Raw genomic sequence first — 20,929 nt, 5'->3', positions numbered from 1 at the left:
TAAAGTGGTTTTTTCCAATTCTGTGAAGAAAGGCATTGGTAGCTTGATGGGGATGGCATTGAATCTATAAATTACCTTGGGCAGTATGGACATTTTCACGATATTGATTCTTCCTACCCATGAGCATGGAATGTTCTTCCATGTGTTTGTATCCTCTTTTATTTCATTGAGCAGTGGTTTGTAGTTCTCCTTGAAGAGGTCCTTCACGTCCCTTTTAAGTTGGATTCCTAGGTATTTGATTCTCTTTGAAGCAATTGTGAATGGGAGTTCATTCATGATTTGGCTCTCTGTTTGTCTGTTATTGGTGTATAAGAATGCTTGTGATTTTTGCCACTCCTATTCAACATAGTGTTGGAAGTTCTGGCCAGGGCAATCAGGCAGGAGAAGGAAATAAAGGGTATTCAATTAGGAAAAGAGGAAGTCAAATTGTCCCTGTTTGCAGATGACATGTTTGTATATCTAGAAAACCCCATCGTCTCAGCCTAAAATCTCCTTAAGCCGATAGGCAACTTCAGCAAAGTCTCAGGATACAAAATTAATGTGCTCTGAAGCTTTTTAATAAACTTTCACTCCTGCTCTAAAACTTGCCTTGGTCTGTCCTTCTGCCTTATGCCCTCCTTGGTCAAATTATTTCTTCTGAGGAGGCAAGAACTGAGGTTACTGCAGACCCATATGAATTTGCCACCAATAACAATAATACTAATTTACACAAGAAAATATGGTTTATTATACATCACTGATGAAAACAGGCACTCTTATTCATAACTTTCTTTACCATGCTTCAGGACAGAAGACAAATTTCAACGTATTTTAGCCCCGCATACTCTCTTCAAAAATCCAGTACTTCTGAAATAATATAATTGGGGAAGGTAAGGTAATACATAAAATAAACACCTTATAAGGACTTTACATCCAACTTTACAATTTATGCAACAACTCAGAGAAATTCTTTAGCCTCTCTGTGGCATCAAGAAAATAGAAGAAAAGTGTTCTCTCACCTGCTAAATATACCCCCTTGAGTATATAGCAAATAACATTTTGCATCTTGGAATATAGGCTGTTTATAAACATATAACAAGGATTATTAATGCTAAGTTTCTACTATTATGTAAAAAAAGGAAAGAAAAAAATGTCCGGACTGAAATTATCTATCATTCACACCATGGCAAGTAGTTATCACAGCCCATATGGAGTGAAGATTACCCAGAGCTGAAAGTTCCAAGAGAATGTGACAAGGTGACATACAGGAGTCAAGTGCTGTATGCTGGGTGCAGCTCATTTCTTAGAGGTGCAGAACTTATGATATGAAAAGGATATACAGAAGCCACCATGCCAACAGGGGTGAAAACTGGGGAATCAAACAAATGTTGCTGATTCAAAGTTGTTTTCCTATGATAACAAACAGCACCAAATGAGTTGCCATGGTGGAGAGCAAGCTGTGCTCAGAGACTAATTGCTGCACTTGTTAGAGTGTGCAAGAAGGTGTTTATCTGTTTTACATGTGTTTGGTGCCAAGACATCCTGGGGATCTGGAGCTGAAGCGGAAACAGAATGACAGTGTTTAGAAAACTAAACATAAAAACAAAAGGGAAGGAGAGCATTTTTTGTGAAAGTGACTTGAGCATTAAGCATATGAAAAGCTTGAGGCTTCTATCCTGGGTGATTAATTCTTCAGTCTCCTTCAGATCAACCTGTGGGAGCCCATGCTGGAATGGAGTGTATTAAGTCTGGTTCTTTGATGTTATTTTATTTACATGGTGAATTGTTCAAAGCAGGAAGGATCACTTTAAGTGCTACCAATAGAAGTAAAAGGGAATAAACTCAGGAAAAGGAAGGAAGTGAAGCACAAAATGTGGTTTTTCAAACAGTTCCACCTGAATGGCAAAGTTTAGAATATGTACTATGGGGAATTTGCCATACTGTGTCTTCTAGGCTTCAGAAATAATAAATGGATTTTGACTAACATTTTTAAAGGTTTAATGATGGAAATACTACTGAACAACTTTGATTTTCTTCTCTCATACTTCAGAGCCTTCTTAAAGTCTTCCCTGGGACAGAAATTTGTTTCTCCAAGTCTAAACTCAAAATATTTCTGGAATATGATTAAGGAGTAAGGTAATTCCTCCAAGCAATAAACATGGTAAGTGTTAAAAATAATTATTGTTACTCAATTTTTTTTGATATACAGAGATATTTGAGTATTAATAAACTTAAGGACAAATGTGGTATGTTTACATTTTCTATGTAATTAACATACTATGTGGATTATTTGCTATTTAAAATTGAGGAATAATATAAATAATATTCATTATGTATCATATATCATTTTGAAGTACCTATTTTACATAATCTGTATCAGACAAAAAAATCAAGCTATTAGTTTTTTTTAAGTTCCCTGTATTACCTCAAACAATTTAAACAACAAAAAAAAAATGTGCTTGGCTCATGACTCTCTCTCTCTCTCCCTCCTTCTCTCAAGTATTTGAAAATTTCTCTAAAAGAAATAAGTGGTAACCTTCATTTTTCACACAAGGACAATAGGTTAAAGCTACACCCACCATAGATTTTTTTAAACCCTTCATTTTAATGTAATTTACTTTCCATTTTTCACTGCTTTCTGCCACATATAGTGTGAATGGTTCATCATTGTAGTGAAAAATATATGTCAAATCAGAATTCACACAAATCATTAGTCCTATACTAAAAGCAAATTTCATATCCAGAAAAGATTATAACTTCTCCAAGATTAAACTTATATCTAACTTTGAAATTATACTCAATTGATCTTTTTTTTATTATTATACTTTAAGTTTTAGGGTACATGTGCACAACGTGCAGGTTTGTTACACATGTATACCTGTGCCATGTTGGTGTGCTGCACCCATTAACTCTTCATTTAGCATTAGGTATATCTCCTAATGCTATCCCTCCCCCCTCCCCTGACCCCACAACAGGCCCCGGTGTGTGATGTTCCCCTTCCTGTGTCCATGTGTTCTCATTGTTCAGTTCCCACCTATGAGTGAGAACATGCGGTGTTGGAAACCATCATTCTCAGCAAACTATCACAAGGACAAAAAGTCAATTGATCTTTAAAAGTTGACAGGAAGGGGATGTAGTTTGTACCCTCTTAGAGCTGAGAGTTTAATGCATTTAATGTTTTCTTTTTTAATCTGGCTGTCTGTGCATGTAAGAAAATACATTTGTATACATCCTTATGGCAAAGAAAAGTCAACTTGCTTGCTTAGAGGATGAACATTTGTCTCTGGTTTAATGTAAAATTTATTAAGTAAGCCAGCAATATATATTATTGGCTCAACGATTAAAACTGCATAGAAGCTCTTCTTACTAAAGCTTCTGAAACAAAAGAAAAGTCAGAAAAATCCCCAAAATGGACCGTTTGTTATATGTAAGAGGGTGTGTGTGTATATGTGTGTGTATGTGTGTGTGTATGATGTTTACTCTGATAGTTGTAATTCTAATGCAGTATCACAGCGTTCCTCCTTGCTCTTCTATATTCTCCATTTCCATCTCTAAGCTATCTGCATCCCTCCACCAAGCATTCAGCTTCAAGAACAGAAGTGTCGTGACTCAGAGAAGTGTTTGCCACTGTCAGCTTAAGACCTTGGCTCAGAGATTTTTTCAGCAAACTGGAAAACAGATGGATCCTCATTTATTTTCAAAAGAACTGACTTCATTTGCACCAGAACATAGACAAATTTAAACCTAAAGGCACTCTCATGAACAATGGAGATTGTGGTGAGGAGAGATTCATTGATCTAATGAAAATACAGCCTAAACTACAGGATAGACTGGCTATCCTATCAGAGAGAACCTAGAAATAAGAAAACTGGGAGAAGTCCTCCTGAGATCAGAACAAATATCTGAACAGTGACTGCAGAAACTATCCTATCCATTGAAGGAGCTAAAATTTGATTTAATTAGTTCGTAAAGGAATGTATGTCCAAAGTACTGCTGAGAACAAAAAATCAACTGAAAATTAGTGGAGTTTAATATCTGGATGTGTAGTCTGGAAAAGAGTGGAAGAGAATTCTATAAGCACTATTGTTATCCCTGTGCCTCCCTGAAGAGCAACATCAGAGGTTCAATATTAGAAGTCGGGGAGAACACATTTTAGTAAAATAATCCAACCACTTACTACACAAATAAACAAGCAAATAACAATAATAAGACCAGTAAGGAGGGGAAGAATACCCAGAATTACTACAATATATTATCTAAAATATCATTTCCAAAAAAGTATTTTGAGACATGCCAAGAAACAGCAAAGATCCATATATTGGTGGGGGATAGAGTGGACGGAAAGCAACAGACACTGCCTGTGAGTGTGGGAGGATGTCAGATTTAGAGAAAATAATTTCAAAGTAACCATTATAAATGTGTTCACAGAACTACAGGAAAGCATGATTAAAGAAATAAAAGGACATATGATGGCAATGCTGCACTGATTAACGAATATCAACAAAGAGTTAGGAAGTTTTTAAAAAGAAAAATAGAAATGAGAAGTTAAAAAGTGCAGTATTCCAGGTGTAGTGACCCATGCTTGTAACTCTAGCATTTTGGGAGGCTGAGGCCTACAGATTGCTTGAGACCAGGAGTTCGAGGCCAACCTGTGCAACATGGCAAAACCCTGTTTCTACAAAAAAAAAAAAAAAAAAAAAAAAAAGGAAGAAGAAGAAGAAAGAAAAAAAGAAAAAAAGAAATTACTAGATGTGCGGCATGTGCCTGTAGTCCCAGCTACTCAGGAGTCTGAGGTGGGAGGACCCCTTGATCCAGGAGGCAGAGGTTGCAGTGAGCTGAGATCTCACCACTGAACTCCAGCTTGGGCAGCAGAGTGAGACCTTGTCTCAAAAAATGAATAAATAAATAAATAAAATAAAAAGCGCAGTAACTGAAATTTTTAAGAAATGCATTAGAGGTGCTGAATACTAGATTTGAAGAAAGCAAAGAATTACCAAACTTGAAGATAGATTGATAGAGATTATGTAAGCCTAAACAGAGAGAAAAAATAATGAAGAAAAATACAGAGTTATGCAGAACATTAAGCACACCAATTGCTTATAATGGGAATACCAGAAGAAGAGAAAAAGAAATAAGAATTTTAAAAACATAATGACTGAAAATTCCCAAATTTATTAAAAACTATAACTTACACATCCAGAAAGCTCAACATACTCTAAGTAGGACAAAATGCAGATACCCACAAACAGATCCACCATAATAAAAATGCTGAAAGTCAGAGCCAAAGCAAAAATGTTGAAAGCAGCAAAATAAAAATAATGCATACCTAACGCCAATGAGCTTCATGACTGAAATCTCACCCCATAACCAGTGGAGGCCAGGTGGCAGGAGGATAACATATTCAAAGTTATCAGTGAAACCATAAATTGTCAACCAAGAATCCTATACCTAGCAAAATTATCATTCCCAAATTGAGGTGAAATAAAGAGTGCCCAAAACAAACAAACAAACAAACAAAAAACCTGAGAGAATTTGTTGCTAGCACACCTGACTTACAATAAAATTAAAGGGGATTCTTCAGTCTGAAACTAAATGACCTTGGATAGCAATTCCATTCACAGAAACAAAGAGCACTGGTAAGAGTAATGATGTAATTATAAAAGAAACCATAATGACATATTTTTTTCTATTTCTTTAGTTAAAAGATTTTTAAAACACAATTGCATAATAATATAAAATGTATTGTTGTGCTTATAGCACATGGAAATGTAATATGTGAGTAATATATTTGTCAATAGCAGTACAGAAGAAGTTGGTCACAGTAAAGCTATAATGGGATAAGAAATAATGATAGGTGGTAAAGTAATAATTAATATAATATATTGTTGGCATGTAACATTAAAAGACATAACATGCACAATAATAGTACCAAAAAAGGAGAAATGGGAATAGAGTTATATAGAAGTAACATTTCTATGTATTATGGATATTAAGCTAGCATAATCCGAAGCTGATTCGGATAAATTAAAATGTATATGATAAACATTGGAGAAACCACTAAAAATGAGTAGCTCAAAAAGTGAGAAAATCATTAATGAAGCTAAAGTGAAACAAAAAGACATGAGGCCTATAGAAAAGGAAAAACAAAATGACAGACATAAATCTGGCAATATCAAGAATCAAATTAAATGGGAACTAACCCAGTTAAAAGGCAGAAATTGTCAGACTAGATTAAAAAACATGATCTAACTGTATGTCATTTACAGGAGAAGCATGTTAGATTCAAAAACACAAATAGATTGAAAATAAGAGGATGGGGCAGGTGTAGTGCCTTCTACCTGTAATCCCAGCATTTTTGAAGGCCAAAGTGGGCAGATTGCTTAAGCTCAGGAGTTCAAGACAAGACTGGGCAACATGGCGAAATTCCATCTCTACCATACATACAAAAATTAGCTGAGCATGGTGGTGCATGGCTATAGTCTCAACTACTTGGGAGGCTGAGGTGGGAGGATTATTTGAGCTGAAGAGGTCAAGGCTAGGGTAAGCTGTGATTGTGCTACTGCACTCCAGCCTGGACGACAGAGTGATATCCTGTCTTAAACAAAAAAATAGTAAGAGAACAGAAAAAAGATACGTTAGGCCAGCAGCAACACAGGAAAACTGGGGTAACTATACTAATACCGGACAAAATAGACCTTAATACAAAAGATAAAGTTATCAGAGATAAAGAGGAACTTCTTATAATAAAATTTTTAATCTAGCAAGATATATAACTATAATCAATGTGTATGCACCTAACAACTAATAGTAAAAAGTAACTACAGAGCATCAAAATATATAAGGCAAAAACTAACCAAATGAAGGAAGAAATAGACAATCAAAATAATTGTTGGAGACTTAGATATCCTGCTTTCACTAATAGGCAAAACAACTAAAGAGAAGATCAATAAAGAAACAGAAAACTTGAGCAACAGTATAAACCAACCAGACCTAACAAATACCCATAGAACATTCTACCCAACAACAGAATAGACATTCTACTCAAGTGAAAATAAATGAAATATTTCTTAGGATAAACCATATATTAGGCTATAAAACAAACATCAATAAATTTTAAAAGATAGAAGTAATATTATGTTCTCTGACTATAATACCATAACAAAAATTAATAATAAAGAGAAATTAAAGAAAATTACAAATATGTGGAAATCAAACAACACTCTCTAAAACAAGCAATGGGCCAAAAGAGAAATATCAAAAAGGAAACTAGAAGATATTTTGAGATGAATGAAACTAAAGACACAATGTGTCAAAACATGGGATGCAGCTAAAGCAATGTTTAGAGAAAAATTTATAGGTGGAAATGCCTATTAATCCAGGCTGAGTAACAGACCGAGTCTCCATCTCACAAAAATATATACAAGAAATGTCTCAAATTAATAACCTAAACTTCCGCTGAATAAAAGAGAGCAAAGTAAACCTAAAGTAAGGAGAAGGAAAGTTAAACATTACGATGGAAATTAATGAAATAGAGAATAGAAAATTAAATTTCTCAAAGTGATCAACAAAATTGGCAGCCTTTCCTAGTTTGACCAAAAGATAAAGATAAGACAAATTATTATAATCAGAAATAAAAGACTGGACATTACTACCAACCTTACATAAATAAAAAGGATTATAAATGAATACATTGAACAATTGTACACCAACAAATTAGATAACTTAAAAGAAATAAACGCTCTTAGAAAGACACAAACTACTGAAACTGATTCATGAAGAAATAAACGATCTGAATAGACCTAGGTGAAGATACTGAATTTATCATTTTTTAAAATAGCCACAAAGTATCCTAGGAAAATATGGCTTCACTGCTGATTTCTACTGAACATTCAAAGAAACTGTTCTTCACAAACTGTTCCAGAAAACAGAAGGGAACACCTCCCAACTCCCTTATTAAGGTCAGCATTACTCTGATGCCAAAATCAAAGATATTACAAGAAAAGAGAACTACAGATCAAAATTTCTTATGAATATAAATGCAAAAGTTCTCAACCAAATAACTAACATATGAAATCCAGCAGCATATTGTAAGAATTATAAATTATGACCAAGTGTGATTTATTTCAAGACGCAAGGTTGTTTTACATCTGATAATTTACAATCAATGTAAATTATCATATCAAAATAAATAAATCAAATGAGCATCTCAATAAATACAGAAAAAAAGCATTTGACAAAATTCAGCACCCTTTCATGATAAAAACACTCCACACGCTAGGAATAGAAGGAAATCTCAACTGGACAACGAACATTTACAAAAAATCCACAGTTAACATTATACTAATTGATGAATGACTGAATTTTTCTCCCTAGAATCAGGTACAAGACAAAGTAACCATCTTTAACACTTCTGTTTGACATTGCACCAGGACAATTAATCAAAAAGAAAAAATAAAACACACCCAGGTTGGAAAAAGAAAAACTAACAAAAACAAATTCTGTTTATAAACAGCAACACTGTGTACAGAAAAAATCCTAAAGAATCCACAAAAACACTATTATAATAAAGTTTCTCATCAACAAGTTTTCAGAATACAAGATCAATATGCAAAAATTAATTGTATTCCTACCAATTTGTAAAGAATAATCCAAAAATAAAAGAAAACAGTTCCATTTGCAATAATAAAAAATAGGAATAAATTTAACCAAAGAAATGCAAAACTTATGCTCTGAAAACTCAATAACATTTAAGCTTTTAATTGTTAAAGGAAAACTTGTTGACAGAAATTGTTGAGAAAAATTAAGGAAGGTCTAAATAAGTGGGACAGCATCCCGTATTCACAGACCAGAGACTTAACAATGGTAAAATGTTAATACACCTCAAACTAATCTATAGACTCAGTGAAATTCCTATAAAAATACCAGCTGATGTTTTAATTGAGAAACTGATTCTAAAATTTTTATGGAATTGCAAGAGGACCAGAAGAGCCTAAACAATCCTTCAAAAATGAAGCAGAAAAATGAAGGAAGATTCACACTTCCAAAGTTCGAAAATAACAAAACAGCAATCAGACAGTGTGTTACTGCTATAAAGAGACATATGTAGATCAGTGGAAGAGAATCGAGCGTCCAGAAGTAAACTCAAATGCCTAATGAGAAACTGATATTTGACAAAGGTGTCAAAACCATTCAAAGAAGGAAGAATAGTTTTTTTCAGCCAATTGTGCTAAAACAAATAGCTACAAGCAAAACAATATGCATAAAAATTAACTCATTTCTGGCATGAAGAAGATATAAAGTTGACTCATTATTGATAGCAGTTTAGTATAGCTGATTACAGTTCCTAAATGTTTATATCTCCAATAAAATGGTTATGATCTTTCCAAATATATGAGTTTACAAACAATAAAAGATATTGATTTAATAAGGTATAATGCCTAACGCAGAGTCTCCAATGAATGGAAACATGGGGTTCTTTTAAACAAATCAGGTTCCTAGTTACCAGGAGCTTAGTATTTGGTACGTAATTAGGGTAGTAATAAAGTATTGTTGATGCAAAATATGAAAAGATAAATAGAAAATTACCTTTATAAATCTAAAACTGCAAAGTGAGCACTAAGGTCCTTATTTTTTCCTTTTATGTCTCGATAATTTTTATCTTGGAATAAAATACAATTTGAATGCAGTGATAGGGAGTTTGTCAAGCATGGTGGCAAGGTCATCTCTCACACAATAGATTCTGGAGTCAGACTTCCTATGTGTCAATCATACTTCCATTATTCTACTAGCTGAAGAGTAAGACAAGATTTTTCATCAGAAAATGGGTATGAACATAATAATTCCCCCTTTATTAAGTTATTGATAGGATACAATTACTGGTACATATTAAATACTCAATAAATAATAGTAATTGATATTTTCTTTTTCTTTAAGGTTCACCAGAGAAAAATACTGGCCTGTATCATTACATAAGTCTGATCAAAATTAGCATTTTGTTATGACTAATTTCAGTTAATGAATACAAGGAACAACCATCTGTTTTCTCTAAAATTTTAGCTCATTTTGTGACTTATATGTTATGCTGAAGGTGAGAGGAGATCTACAGTACAATTTTTCTTCAGCAATAAAAATTATTTTTATAGAAGTCATTCAAATAATGTAATTTGAACAGTGACTGTAACTAAGATACCATGCAAGTGCTATTGCAAGCACTTTTAGCAACAATTTTAAAGCTGCAGATGCAAAATTTTAATGACCAGTGTTTAAAATAATATTAACGAGTAAACTCCAACAAAAATATTTGCAATAATAAACAGAAAAATGTGAATTGGAAGGATAAATTATATACTGCAATAAATTGAGCCCAAAGAAACAGATTGTTCCATAAACTATAAGTGAAAGCATTCTGGCCGGTGATGTTCCAAGCTGTTATTCCAAAAAGATAACTCCTAATGCCATTGAATAAACATCGTTAGTCTTTAAGTTCTGCCATTTGTCATATGATGATTATAATTCTCAAGCACTATTTTTCCTGTCATTATCTTCCCCATTATATTCATCTTCATCATTATCATTGTTATGATTGCCATTTTCTCCATTAGCCAAGTATTTTAAATATTCAAAATTTCTCCATATCCAAAATATATTTTGTTCAGAGTTGCATAAATATAATCCAAGTCATTCATTGACAGAGCGAAATGTCTAAAAATATTTGGACCAAATCTCCAGCATAACTAAATCCTCAAATCAAGACCCCAGTAACTCACATAGTGAGCTTGAAAATCAGAAATCAAAATGTCAGACAGCTTCATTTGGCAATCATACACCTATGAACAATATTCCTGGTCTTGTGCTTCCAGGTCAAAGACAGGACTATATTTTCCCTCCTCCTGCTTTAAAATGTTTTAAAATGGCTTTAATTTGCTTGTGTCAATGAAATGTGACTGAAAATGATGCCTACTACATCCAGGCAGAAGGATTTAAAAACCAACTCATCATATTTTTTCCTCACAACCACAGAGGTCAGTAATACTCCACTCAAAACCAGACAGTAGCTGATTCATTAAAGTAGTCACTGTTAAATCAAAAGGAATGTGACCAAAATTAGCTACAATGCGGCCAAATATATCTTCCATTTTAACAAACATAAAAGACTTTAATTCACCTAAGAGTAGAAAACAATTTTCAGATTGAACTAAAATATGAACCAAGTCTATATTGTATACAAAGATACTACTAAAACAAGTTGATGTAGAAAGTAGATGGGATGCGGTGACTCACACCTGTAGTCCCAGCAATTTGGGAGGCCAAGGTAGGGGGATTGCTTGAGGCTAGGAGTTCGGGACCAGTCTGGGCAACATAACAAGATCCCATCTCTTAAAAAAAAAAAAAAATAGCAGGGCATGGCGGTGCTTGCCTGTAAGTCCTTGCTACTCAGGAGGCTAAGGCAGGAAGAGCTTGTGAGCCCAGGAGTTCAAGGCTGCAGTGAGCCATAATTGCACCACTGTACTCCAGCCTGGGTGACAGAGCAAGACTCTGCCTCTAAAAAACAGAGAGGAAATAATAGTGAAAGGCATACCATACAAATATGCACACAAAAAAATGAAAGGTAAAGGAATTGTGATACTACTATCAAATGAATCAGCAGAGGTGAAATAATTCAGGCCAAAGTGTTAAAAGTTAAAAAAAAAAATTCAAAAAGGGCACTTTTGAAAATAATTTTAAATGGTACAAATCACAATGAATATATTACAGTCATTAAAATCGAGACATCTCATAATATAGCAACAATTTTTTTTTTTTTTTGAGACAGAGTTTCACTCTTGTTGCCCAGGCTGGAGTGCAATGGCAAGATCTCAGCTCACTGTAACCTCTGCCTCCAGGTTCAAGCAATTCTCCTGCCTAAGCCTCCAGAGTAGCTGGGATAACAGGCATGCACCACCATACCCAGCTAATTTTGTATTTTTAGTAGAGACGGGGTTTCTCCATGTTGGTCAGGCTGGTCTCGAACTCCCAACCTCAGGTGATCCACCCGCCTTGGCCTCCCAAAGTGCTGGGATTACAGGCGTGAGCTACCATCCCTGGCCCCAACAATTTAAAAGTACAAAATAATCCAGGAAATATGTGGAAAGCTAGAAATGTATTAGCAAGGGATAAGAATAAAATAAACATCTATTTGCTTATATTTGCAGGAAAAAACTAAGTATACAAAAGAAACTAATATAAAGGACTAAAAAGGAAGCACATCTTTTATTGTATGTATTTTTATGTTTTTTGATTTTTTTCAAGCAAGTTCATGTTAACAGGTAAAAAATAAAGCAGTTGGTTAGTTATATAATTCATCGAGCTAAAATGGTTGTCATTACCATAGAGGCTTTACGTTCCAAGCACTTTTCTTATATATTTATCTTTGTCTGACTCTCTGATTGCAATTTTCACAGAACAATACAACTCTTTTCATGGAAAGAAAAGGTCATAATTTTCCCTTTTCGTTTCCAGATTTTGGAAAGCAACATCTCCATCCAAAAGCCCATGAGTTATCAATGCTATCAATCCCATATGTCCTTTGAGGTGTGAGGTCTCAGCCAGGAAGATGAGTCTTACGCGCCTCTATATTTGTAGACATGACAGACAAAGTATTTCAAACAAGTCCATGATGTGGTTTTATGTTTTTGACATCAGCCCACCAGGTTTGCCTGTCCTGCCTAATGTGTGCGAAAATGTTTTATCCAATTCTGACATTTCTCGAAGTGATTTCATCAGTAGTGCCTCTGGAGGACCAAATGAAAGCCTCTAGTTTAACTAGAACTAGAGGCAATGACAGTAGCAAGCCTCGGGCAATTCCTGCTCTTGGAATGTTAAAGGTCAGTGTTAAAATTTATAACATATTGTTATCTAACATTAACACTTCCACTGATATATTCTCAAAAAAATGCCACTTTGATGGGCCTAAATCAAAGTTTGTTTCATGATCTGGGCTCTTAAAAGTGTTCCTTCATCGCAAGCAGAGTAGTCAGTCAAGCCATTGGAATATTTATGCAGACATATCCACAGGTGTGAATTAGTTGGTTCTATGGTTCTGAGCACAGGTGACATGCCAGATTTGGAAGAACAGATTGCTTTAGCTGTGACTCTAATTATAACTTATTTGGTAGTCTTTATCCTACTTACTCGCACATAGTATTTTATAAACAGATGTGTCATGTAAAGGGGGTATGATCACATATACCATTAGTGCCACTCAGGTACAATGTATTTTTTTTAATTAGAAACAAACAAGTGGCAGAGCGTACACAATCTCTTAAAGTCTCATCTGTTCCACAGAGGAGACTATGCTTAGGCTGGGCATAGCTACATTGCATATAACACAGAAGAGCAACAGGAAAGAATTCCACCTCCGTAACCTTCCACATAGAGGGAAAGGAGCAAAGTAGTACTGCAGGGAAAAGCTAGGCCACCAAAAACCAGTAGTGGCTTCCTGGTGAGGGAAGTGGCTCTGTTAGAAATAGCTGGGGTGGGGCAGGGAGCCTCAGTCTCTGGTATCAGCCTGTTCTTCTATTGAATTAACTCAGACCTACTGAGCTGGTTTCTTGCTAAACTACCAAAAAGTAAGAAGAAATGCACCTCTATGGCCATCCACTGCCATTTCCTCTCCTTGAAATGCCTGGAGCACATTTACCTCATTGGATACAACACAACATCGTGCAGGCAACATTTGCAAAGTGTAGACATCGAGGTTAAGGCTGAGCTTTTCAGTGGTATCTACTTCTCTCATTCCCACAGCTCTCCCCTTCAGATACAAATACCTTCTGCTCCTCCCCCTACCAAGCCCTACTTTCAGAAAGGGCTTTATAACTGCTCAGCACAATGCCTCAGACATAACAGGTATATAATAATGGCTTCCTATTTAATATGATGAAGGCCATGACCGCTTATTCAAAGCTCAAAAGATAATTATTTCAATGCTCTTCTCAATCACCTTTCAGTTAATATGATCTCTTGAGTTTGAGAAGTTTGAGAAAATCGCATCCAACCTGGAGACCATTAAAAAAGAGGTTGGTGTGGCAAACACCAACTGGGTTACCTGGATGGGTAATATTTACACATTTGCTTGTAAATTAAATAAAAATGTATACTATCCCTTTTGCTTTTACTTATGTTGGGAAATAGTAATTTTATGTAAATTACTGGCTTACTGTGCTCTGGGAATTGATTTCCTATAAATGCAAATACTATTGTAGTCTTTACCTAATTCGATTTTGCAAGAAATGGGAAGGGGGGGAACTTACCTATTTAAAGGGCTAGGGTGCCTTCCTTTTAGTTAAAGCAACTCTTGGTAACAACAAAAATGTATTTTGTTTCTAGACAGTAATTTGGCGTTTTATTACAGCTTGCCAATGTGATACAACAGTTGGGCATGCTGGCTCTGCCTTAGCACATTTATTGCATTATACAGCAAGAAAACAGAATTTCCTCTGCAGGCAAACAGTGGTATCTGTGTTTTCTTCACCAAGATATTTAATTTGGACATGTTTTAAAATAAAATCTAAATGTAATTTTACAATTTAGTGGGCAAGTATTTTTATATAATATTTATATATTATACATAAGATACCTTCTGTTCTTCCCCCAATTAAGCCCCATTTATATAGTACATGTAAATATATTTATACATAACATTTAAATGTATTATATTTGCCCACCAAATTATAAATTACATTTATATATGTTTTATATACCCAAATATGCACACACACAGATATATATATATACACATACACAGATGCATATATATTTGAATATACATGTACATACATTCACTTATATAAATGTGTGTGTATATGGTATGTTCAAATATATAATACACATATATTTAAAAGAAAGAAAATATGGAAGAATGTAAACTAGATGTAAACTGGTTTTATGCTTTGAGTGATCTAGGCCTAAGTCTAAGTTTTACATCACACACTGGTTAGGACAGCTTGGGAGAATTACTTAACCTTTCTCAGATTGTTTACTCATTTATAAAATTGGGATAAGTATTCTCCTCAAGATATTTGAAAGGATTAATAAAATTTAATGAAATGTCTAATATAAAGTGTTCAGCACAAGTAAGGATCCATCCTCCTGGAGCACCAATCAATAAGGAAGGCCAACGTGTCACTGGAATAAATTGGAAGTTTGATACAAGTTAAATCCAGCTGCCTAAAAACGTTCCTTGTGTAATTGGACATCTGCGGTATTTCAATTCGCACAGAAGTAGACAGCGCCCTCAAGTGGAAATTTTAAAAATCACTCCTCATAGAGCTGACCCATTCTGAGCAAGGTGTAAATGGCATAGTACAACCATGAACACATACCCAGGATGAAAACACAGGTAGCTGACGTTACCTAAGGTCTGCAGCCACCTCCATCCGAAAACCTGAAGCACAAAGTTGTGTGGTGTAGCGCAATTTTCCAATGACAAATGAGTTGTTTTATCATCTCAATTGTAAATATTTTTAAAATCACAGATTTCATTTACAGAATTGTAATGCTGCTCATTGTTGAAGAAATTGACATAGATGTATTATTACTGACTACTTAATCTACCTCCTTTCCAGTCAACAATCCTCAGGGCTAGGTGTTATTATTATTCTAATTGTCAGATGAGGAGATTGGGGCATTGAAAAAATCAACTTTGTTAATCAAGATCAAACAAAAAGTAGCAAAATCAAGAGTTAAATCTTACATCCTTGCTTTTGGCTCCAGTGTCACCCAATGCATCTTGCAGTTCAGAAAATCAGAAAATGGAGAAAGAACAAAACCCCAGAGAAATGGGAAATGCTTTGCTAACAGAAAAGGGAGACAAAAGAAAGTTCAAAGACAGTCTAAACAAAATCTTAAGCTCCCACAAATTTGTCCGTGTGAGTTGTCTTTTTCCTCAGGGTGAAAGCGACAAAAACGAACGCTGTTGTAATTACTTTATCGAATAAATCTCTTATTTGGAACATCAATATTTAATTTTTATTAATAGAAAACAAGATTCTAACTGGCAAATTAAAAAAATACTAAGTTTATATTTTTAAAACATCAGATTTAAGGAACTCCATTTTGACTGTGATGTCAAATTTGTTTACAGCCTGGCCAACTGGACGTGTTTACTAAATGTTAATTTATTGCCACCTGCTTTTGTCCTCAAAGGTCATTTCTGTATTTCTCTATAGCCCAGAATATTGTTTTATGCATGCTGCATATTAGATTAAAAAATCAGTTAATATTAATGGATGAATTAAGAACCCTCTCTGGCTACTCAGTTCCTAAATTCCTGGGAATATTTTTAATACTAAAGGCTCTCTTTTGCTATGGGAGGCAAAAATTGAGAAGAAATATTTCTTGCTTGTTTGGAGCCATTACTCAACAAAGAATGGGAGTGGAATAAGTACTGAAGTAATTCTTTAATGTCAGCCATGACACTGCAAACCTTGGTCTTCCGAATTAAAATTAGTGCAGTCTAATGCTGACCCTAATCATTCTCATGTATCTGAGCCTGAGACAGTATTTTTGTATTAAGTAAATTAAGTGATTAACTCTGTTATTTTGAAAAAATTTTAAAGCTCAGAGTTTCTTAATTTTTTTTTTTTTTTTTTTTTTTTTTTTTTTGAGATGGAGTCTTATTTTGTCGCCAGGCTGGAGTGCAGTGGTGCGATCTTAGCTCACCTCAATCTCCACCTCCCGGGTTCAAGCGATTCTGTTGTCTCAGCCTCCTGAGTAGCTGGGACTACAGGCGCCCGCCACCACACCCAGCTAATTTTTTGTATTTTTAGTAGAGACGGGGTTTCACCGTGTTAGCCAGGATGGTATCGATCTCTTGAACTCGGCCTCCCAAAGTGGTGGGATTTCAGGCATGAGCCACCATGTGCGACCCTTGAAATTTTTAAAGAAATGAAACCTTACAGATTATATTCATACACCTGTTACACTCACCAGTTCCATTTCCTTCCTTTTCTAGAGGTAACTGATATGGTTATTATAGCCAGTCCATATGTTTGTACTTTTATTATATATCTACCCATAAAAAATATATTCTAAGTTCTGTATTTTAGCTTAATTTTCATGAATAGAATTGTAGTATACACAATTATTTCATGAGATGTTCTTTCTAATCAGCAGTTTTCTCTTCAGATTTATCCGTATTGATACATAAAGATCCAACTAGTTCATTAAAACTGTTGGTTATTTGGCCAATTTTATTGATTAATAGTGTTTACATATCCTGAATAGATATTTTTGTATGTTATATATGTAGTTTCTAATGTCTTCGGTTATTTTGTATTTTATTGTTAAAATTTTTAATTTTACTATAGTTCTGTTTTGGTAAAAAAAAATATTTTCATCCCCCTTAGATATAAAGATAGTCACATTGTCTTCTAATAATCGGAAAGTTCTGTTTTTAACATACAGGCCTTTATTCTATCTGGGATTTACTTTTGTGAATAGCATGATGATGTACCAGATATGTACCTTTATCCTTCCAGATCAACTCTTCTTCCCCATCCACTCTGTATCCCAGAAGGTTGACCTGTACAGACAAATCAAAATATCTTGTCACCTCCAGCTTCCATTTGGGATTAATCAGTGAGGAATCCAAGCAAATTGGGAGAAGGGAGAAGGTGAGGACATGACTCTATAGAATAAGTAGAACATAACTGAAGAAAACCAATTGAAATGTTTATCAACACATCTCAACAGACTCTCAGCAGCACCAGGCAATTTCCATCATCAGTTCACTCTTTTAATCTCCAAGATAACTATTACACGCCTTCTTTCTCCTCTTCTCATTTTTAGTTTGTGCTTTCACCTCCAATTTTACTGAAAAAAATATAAGCACTTAAAGGAGAAATGGTTCATATTTCATCATAAACCTACCAACCTTCTGCTTCTGTGCCTATACTCTTCGTTCCCCCTTATTACAATGGTTGTCTCTGCTCTTCTCTAAAGCCATCTCCTCTACTCGTCCCCAAAATCCCATTTCCTGTTACCACTAGAAGACTATACACCTGCCATTATTACTTCTCTGCATCATTGTCTCTACTGCATTATTCCTATAAACACACAAACATGCCATACTATTGTCCTTAGAAGAAAAACAAATGAAACTTCCTAGAATCCATGTATCTCTTCAGCTGCCATCCTAGTTCCCTGTTACCCTTTAAAAAAAGATTTTCAAACACATTAACTAAACTTTTGGTTTATTCTTCAACTCCCATTCTCTCCTTCAGTCCAATCAGGTTTTAGCCACCGTTACCCTACCAAATCTTTTCTTGTTAGGGGCACTTGACAATAAGATCGTCAGATTCAATGATCCATCTCAGTTCTCATCATATTAAACCTTTATTAGCAACAGACACAATTCATTATCCCCATTCCCTTTTTTTAATTTGGTTTCTAAGACAGTGTTTCCCCTATTTCAATAACCACTTCTTTTCGATATTCTTGGCTGGCCCCTCTTCTTCCTCACCTTTAAATGTTGGATGCTGAAGAACATCATTCTCCTGACTCTATCTATACTTTCTCCTTAATAAATCCTACACAAACCCATTGCTTTAAATATAATAACTTCCTAATTTATCTCTCGTTTTCCTACTAGTCCTCCGACTTCTAGCTTCATATATGTAACAGCTATGTGATACCTAAAGTTTGGATATCTAACAGATACCTTAAACTTAAAATGTAAAAAAAGAAAAAGTCAGCAAATAGAAAAATCACTTGCATTTTTGTTTGTTTTTTTTTTGGTTGGTTGGTTGGTTAGTTTTGTTTTTGACAGGGTTTTTGCTCTGTCACCCAGGCTGGAGTGCAGTGGTATGATCAGAGCTCACTCCTACCACCTCCCAGGTTTAACTGATTCTCCCACCTCAGCCCCACAAGTTGCCAGGACTACAGGTGTGGGCCACCAAGCCCAGCTAACTTTTGTATTTTCAGTAGAGATGGAGTCTCACCTTGTTGCCCAGGCTGGACTCAAATTCCTGGCCTTAAGTGATCTGCTGATCTTGGTCTCCCAAAGTCCTGGGATTACAGGCGCACACAATCTTTTAGGAGAAAAAAATGCAAGCATCACTCTTGGCACTTCTATTTCCATCATACCTCACACACAGTTCATCAATAATTTAAGCATTAATCCAACGACTTTTTATCACCTCCAGTCCTGGTCACAGCTCCAGTCCTGGTCAAAGCCACCATCAGTCCTCAGCTAGACTATTGAATAGCATAATTGTTCTCCCTGCTTCCTCTCTTGCACTGCAGAGCAGTTATTTCCTACAAAGTAATCAGACAAATCCCTGTGAAATGTAAACCCAGCCTTGACTTCCCTGCTCAGACTGTCCAGTGGCTTCTGAGACATCACACTAATTTAAATATTTCAGTTGATCACTGCTGCCACCAACACCATACTGATCTCTCTCCAACCTCTTTTATCACATTGTGTTTTAACCACACTGTTCATGCATACTGCAAGTAAAATTAGGCTTGTTCCTGTTTCCATCCTGTGTGCTTGTGGTTCTCCTTAGCCCCATACCTCTACATACCTGCCTTGCCATTTACTCCGTTGTGTTCAAATGCCATTGTATTAGTCTGTTCTCACACTGCTATAAAGATACTACCTGAGGCTGGGTAATTTAGAAACAAAAGAGATTGAATTAACTCACAGTTCTGCATGGCAGGGAGGCCTCAAGAAACTTAGAATCCTGGCAGAAGGTGAAGGGGAAGCAAGGCACGTCTTGCATGGCAACAGGAGAGAGAGAGAGGGAAAACTGCTACTTTTGAAACCATCAGATCTGGTGAGAACTCCCTCACTATCAAGAAAATAGCATGGGGGAAACAGTACCCATGATCCAATCACCCGCCACCAGTTCCCTCTCCTGACATGTGGGAATTACAATTCAAGATGACATTTGAGTGGGCACACAAAACCAAACCATATGAGCCATGTTCTCTGAAAAGGCTTTTTCTGACCACCCAAACTGAAATAGCCATTGCTGTCACTCTCCCAGCCACCAGCATTCTCTATTCTTTTATCTTGCTTTACTTTTCTTCATAACACTTAGCACTACCTGATATAGTTTATATTTACTTGTCTGTTTATTATCGGATCACACTAACTAGAACATCAATTTCACAAGGGCATGGATCCTGACAGTCTTCTCACTGTTGTATCCCCCAGTGCACAGAAGAATGCCTGGGATATAGAAGGTGTCAATAAATTCCTCACTGTATAAATGAATGAATCTTATCCTATAGTTCCATATATACTTGGGTAAGTTTCTATGACATTCTACTAACTTGATTATCTATACCTGATTGTCTATTACCACACTGTTAGTATAACTTTATAATTAGCCTAAACTATGACTATAATTACTGAATACTTACTATGTGCCATCTGATAAAAAAAATCTAATTGGATATCTAATAGGGAAATCTGATGTCTGATAGTAAAATTTTTTCTTTTCTTTTCCAGAACTGTTTTGTATCTGAGGTGGTTTTTTTTTTTTTGGCTTTTTATTTTATTTTCATATTGAGGCATCATACTCAACAAAAGTTCCTGAAATTTTTATTGGAATTGCATTGGATTTATAGGTTAATAAAACATATGTACATAAATGGGCCAGGTACTGCTCTAAATATCTTACATGTATTCATTCTTTTGGTCACCTGAGTGATCAAATGAAGGAGTATAAAATTATTAGCATTATACCCATTTAACTGATTTAATAGATGAAAGCCCAAAGAAGTTAAATAACTTACCTAAGGTTATTTGGCAAGTAAGGTGTGGAGGTGGAATTTGAACTCAAGTATTCTGGCTCTTCAGCTTTTATATCTAACAAAATGTCTCCCAAATTATTTTAGGAAGAATAGACAACTTTACTAATTGAGCATTGTACTTCTATTGAGCATTCTCCATAAATATTTATGT

At 35.1% G+C, this 20,929-nt stretch overlaps 1 annotated feature.

The window, feature by feature from the left end:
• Nucleotides 1,237-1,864: an enhancer, noted in NCBI's record as "OCT4-NANOG hESC enhancer chr9:22483523-22484150 (GRCh37/hg19 assembly coordinates)". NCBI's record gives its function as "activates a minimal SCP1, AML or CMV promoter by ChIP-STARR-seq in naive H9 embryonic stem cells {active_cell/tissue: H9 hESC(naive)}" and the evidence as "EXISTENCE:reporter gene assay evidence [ECO:0000049][PMID:30033119]".

The sequence above is a fragment of the Homo sapiens genome, chromosome 9, assembly GCF_000001405.40.
Source record: "Homo sapiens chromosome 9, GRCh38.p14 Primary Assembly".
NCBI lineage: Eukaryota > Metazoa > Chordata > Mammalia > Primates > Hominidae > Homo > Homo sapiens.
Note: the sequence above shows the minus strand (reverse complement) of the source record. Positions and strands in the feature narration are given on the sequence as shown.